General features: G+C 51.2%; 1 long non-coding RNA gene across 1 annotated transcript; it reads right to left on the reverse strand.

Annotated features, from left to right (window-relative positions):
- Nucleotides 1–209: 209 nt before the first annotated feature.
- LINC02075 (long intergenic non-protein coding RNA 2075) lies at nucleotides 210–4,098 on the reverse strand. The gene is made up of 3 exons (NR_110805.1): nucleotides 2,771–4,098; nucleotides 938–1,085; nucleotides 210–487 (listed from the first exon to the last, which is right to left on the reverse strand). It is a non-coding gene; the product is annotated as a long intergenic non-protein coding RNA 2075 (long non-coding RNA).
- Between the last annotated feature and the right edge of the window lie 923 nt (nucleotides 4,099–5,021).

Here is a 5,021-nt window from a genome sequence, read left to right on the forward strand (position 1 = left end):
GGATTTGACCGGCCAGGGAAGCTGGGGGCCTTCCCCAACAAGGTGATGTCTGAGTTGAAACCTGAGGGGATGGAAGAACAGCCCAGGCAGAGGAAACAGTATGTGCAAAAGTCCTGTGGCAGGAGGGAGCATATACAATGTGCTGGGAGAAGGCAGACAAGGCCGGAGTGCAGAGAGAGGAGTGAGAGGTGGATGGAGACTGACAACGCGAGGGCTTCTAGGTCATGTTTAAACCCTTGATCCAAGAACAGAGGAAGCCTCTTTGCATTTTGGAGTTGTGTTGGGTGTGGAGGGGGTGATATGATCATCTCAAGTTGGCTGCAGATCGGGGGTAATGAGAGCGGAGGTGGAGGTGGGAATCCTGTTAGGAGGTAGTGGCAGTGGTCCAGGAGAGAGCTGATGCTGGCTGGAACTAGCAGTTGGCAGGGGATTAGATAAGGGTGGTGTCAAGAATGACGGCTGGATTCCTGCCTGCAGCGTTTCTCACCTGTAAAGAGGAAAGAAACAGCTCGACTTTCTCCTGGTGACAAATGAATTAACGGAGACAAAAATTATCTCAGGCAGGCATTGGTGTGAGCTGTGAGAGTAGCGCAGCTTGCTCTCCCCAGGCAGGTAGTTGTATCTTGGTTCTACCCCACATCCTTCAGGCTACCCATACCCATACAGAACCTGATGATAAAACCTTGTACTGAAAACCGCAGTGAGCGTGATTTAGATTAGACTGCTGCCAACAGGGCTGGAGGAAGCTGTTGGTGGAACTAGGGCCAGGGGATGAAAGAGCAGACAGAATCCAGGTGGAGGGCCACGTGCCTGGAGCACAGGAGAAAAGCTGTAAACACCTCACAGAACAGTTCAGGATCTGGTGAAGCTGGCAGTGGCCTGGGAATTAAGAAAGCCCAGGTGGAGGGAGCTTCAAAGGAAATTCCATACTCTGTACCTGCAAAGGTGATGCTCTTCAAAAACCTCAACCTGGGCCGGGTGCAGCGGCTCATGCCTATAAACCCAGCACTTTGGGAGGCCAAGGCGGGCGAATCACGACTTCAGGAGTTCGAGACCAGCCTGGCCAATGTGTTGAAACCACGTCTCTACTAAAAAAAAACATACAAAAATTAGCTGGGCATGGTCTCGCGCGCCCGTAGTCCCAGCTACTCCGGAGGCTGAGGCAGGAGAATCACTTGAACCCGGGAACTGGAGGTTGCAGTGAGCCAAGATTGCGCCACTGCACTCCAGCCTGGGTGACAGAGTGAGACTCCGTCTGAAAAAAAAAAAAAAAAAAAAAAAGAACCTCCACTTCTTGCTGATGGAGGAAATAGAGCATGCCCAGAACACAGGGAGATGGAGTGGCCAGGATGCAGGGTATAGGCACAAGAGCTGGGCAGGCACACAGGGAACACACCTGTGGGGGTGGAGATGACTTGAGGGGCCTTCCTAGAGGAGAAGGAAGAGGTGGAGAGAAGGAGGAGATACTCAGATGGATTTGGGGAATGCTGGATATGTCAGTCTTCTCTGGCTCAGCTGGGGTTTGCTCATTTAAGCTGACAGTGAGTTGGATGTTGAGTGATATTGACACCCCACCCCCACCCCCAATTCAGCACCTCCCTCCAGGATCCCACGTTGCTGTCAGTTTCCAGGCCTTTAGTAAAATGATGGTGGGCTCATCATTCAGCCCCTTCATTACCCTTTCCTCCTCTCCCGCTCCAGTTTATAACTCCACCCACTTTGGAAGATCTGCATGCTCTGCTCCCTGCTCCCACCTGCTCCTCCCTGGCCAAGGCCCAGAGTAGCCCCCATAGTGAGCACCCACTTGGCTGGGAGCTCAGGGTCTACTGTGCCTCTGGTTCACATGTTGGCATTTGAGGAGGGCCTGAGTCATCTTGGTCTTCCCTGAGCATTGCTCTACCCGAAAAGAGGCCCCTGGCGGTAGGGGGACCAACCTTCGCCTTAGGTGTTGAAGTCAAGTGCAGGAAGGATTTCCTGGGCTACAAAGGGTGACAGCTGAGGGTGTGGAATTCGAGGAATCAACTTATGTGCTCCATGTTGTGTGGAAAGTCCATAGCTGAGGGCTTGGCTGGGGGAGGGTATTGCCTCAGAGAGGAACAGGGACCACAGCAATAGACGGGCAAACAAATGGCTGTCAGCACCACCCACACAGCCAGACGGAACATTTGCATCTCACTGTGAACACAGCGCCTGGCCCAGAGTGCTCCTCCAGTGAATGCCTATGGAGAGAAGAGAGATTTTGCTTCCCAGTTCAATTTTCCTCTTGATCTTCCTGATCCTCTAGTTCCTTGTCTACCAAATGGGGTGGTAATCTCTACTTCCTATCTTGTCAGATTGTCATGAAGAACAAACTAACCAATGATGGCAAAAGTGCTTTGTAAACACTTTGTAAACTCTGTATGAAAACATACAGGAGGACCGAGCCCAGCACAGTGCCTGGCCCACAGAGGCTGCTCAGTATTGAATAAATGAACGAATTACCTAATCCCTACAAGAAGGTATGCTCCCCACAGGCACAGACCCAGCCTGTTTCTCCTCAGCACTGTTTCCCCAGTTCCTAGCATGGGGAAGGTGCCTGACAAGTATTTGCATGGAGTGAATGAATGAATGGTGAGACTTAATCCTATCTTCGGGGATCTTCGAGAACTTTGGAGGTGGTGAGGCTGATACCCCAGGGCAACAAACCACGCTGGCTCAATAACCCTGAAGGCAGCTATTATTTCCCCATTTACAGATGAAGAAACAGGCTTAGAGAGATTGAGTGACTTACCCAAGGCCCCACAGCACCTAGTCAGTGATGGATCAGGATGGGAATCCCGGACTCGGCCTCCGATGCCCATGCTTTTTCTACCACAGAAGGCTCCTGCTGCTGGGGATCCGGTGGAGCACTGGCCTCCGTGACCATCCCCTGGACAAGCTGGAATGTTCTTTTGTGGTGGGAGGATATGTCATAACTGCACAGCATCTCAGCGACTCTGCAGCAGGAGGCTGCTGGGTTCATTAAGAGGCCAAGATTCACTCAGGATGTGCCAGGTCTAGAAACACACACGTGCCCAGGACATCTGTGTCTAGATGAAGAGACTGAAGGCAGAGAGGAGAGCTGCTGATGGACTTTCCTGACCCACAAGTCTCTGTCATGTCTGCACACAGCCAGCACCTTCCCTTTTGCACCCTGAGCCATCTCAGTCTCCCACAGACCATGTTCCCTTGGGCAGGGACTCATCACACAACCGCTGCCCTTCCCCTCCCCGACTGAACTTCAGGCTCTACCATGCAGCTCACTGCTTCCCAAAGTATGTTCTGTGGGACTATGTCTTGGGCTGTTTGTAGACATTGCTTGCAAAAAGATTGCCTGTGATGGAAAAAGCTTCGGAAAACTGTATCAAATATGCTAACCTGGCTGCATGCTAACCTTGCAGGACTTCTCAGATCCCTGATTATGCTCATAGGGCATGTGAATCTCCAAGGGCTGGGGAGCTTCAGTAAAGAGCATTTTCTACATTTATTTTGGCCCTAAGCTGTTTCTTCAGGAGCATCTCTTGGGACTGTTGTGCCCCAGGGCACTCTTGGGAAGTCATTGCTGTAGCTGTGGAGAGTCCCTGAGGCATTTCAGCAGAGTCAGAGGATCCGATCAGTCAGTGTCTTAGGAAGACTGTAGGGTGGACTGGAGGAGCCAAGATGGGAGGCAGAGAGGGTACTTAGGAGGCTGCATCAACAGTCTGCAAAAGAGGAAAAGAGCCCTCCTGCCAGCCGGGCACCATGCTAAACTGGGGTGTCTGTCTTCAGTGAGCTTGCAGTTGAAGCAGGTGGGCTGAGCGCCCACCAGGAGCTCTCCTCCAAGGCAGAAGATGCTAAGTGCTGCAAATGGAGCCGCATCGTCAATCCAAGAAGACTCTTGATAACTTATTCAACTGGCACTCCGTGGCTTTGGCCAGCTTCCTTTCATTTTCCTTTTCAGGAATCAATAAATAATTTGAAGTTGTCAGGTGGTACTTCGTTGTTGTTTTTATAACCCTCATTGATAGGGTTGATGGTCTCAGTGTTCATTCCCAAAAGTCACGTGAGGTCAGTCTACTGCCTCACTGGGGCATTGCAACTGAATGGGGAGACTTGGCTCTAAGGCTTTAAAGTGGTAAATGCCCAGTTTATTTTTAGTCTATTGTGTTGTCACAGGTTCAGTTCCATGGCACTGAGGACAGTTTAGGTTCAGCCAGCCCTAGGGTATAGGTAGGACTTAATAACATCTGCATCCTCTCCTGCCCCCAGCCTCTGCCCCTATCTTGCACTCACTCTGCAGCTCCATTTCATGGGATAATGTAATGGGCTAATTCCGCACCCCCTCCTCCTTCCTCCCCAGGTGGATCAGGGAGCAACCAGGTCCCCAGAAACACTGGACAACAGCAGTCTTTCTTTTTTTTCTTTTTTCTTTTTTTTTTTTGAGACAGAGTCTCACTCTGTTGCCCAGGCTGGAGTGCAGTGGTGTGATCTCAGCTCACTGCAACCTCCACCTCCCAGGTTCAAGCGATTCTCCTGCCTCAGCCTCTGGAGTAGCTAGGATTACAGGCACGTGCCACCATGCCCAGCTAATTTTTGTATTTCTAGTAGAGACAGGGTTTCACCAGGTTGGTCAGGCTGGTCTTGAACTCCCGACCTTGTGATCCACCTGCCTCGGCCTCCCAAAGTGCTGGGATTACAGGCATGAGCCACCGCGCCCAGCCCGAGCAGTCTTTCTTCACTGTCCCTCCAAAGAGTCAATGTGGGAGACTGCCTGTTCTGTATTAGTCTTCCATCTGCAACTTGGCTATTCATTCAACGATTGTGGCTGTCAGGGTACTTTAGAGTGAGCATTGGGCTGCAAGTCAGGACATTTGGGATCTGGTCCTGCCTCTGCCGCTACTGTGTGACATTCTCTGGGCCTCAGTTTTCTCGTATGGATAATAGGTATTTGGGTCTTTTCCTTTGACTTGCTGTGATTCTCCTGAAACCCCTTCCTCCAGAGATCATCTCTGGGTTCACAGCTG

This window comes from Homo sapiens, chromosome 17 (assembly GCF_000001405.40).
Source record: "Homo sapiens chromosome 17, GRCh38.p14 Primary Assembly".
NCBI lineage: Eukaryota > Metazoa > Chordata > Mammalia > Primates > Hominidae > Homo > Homo sapiens.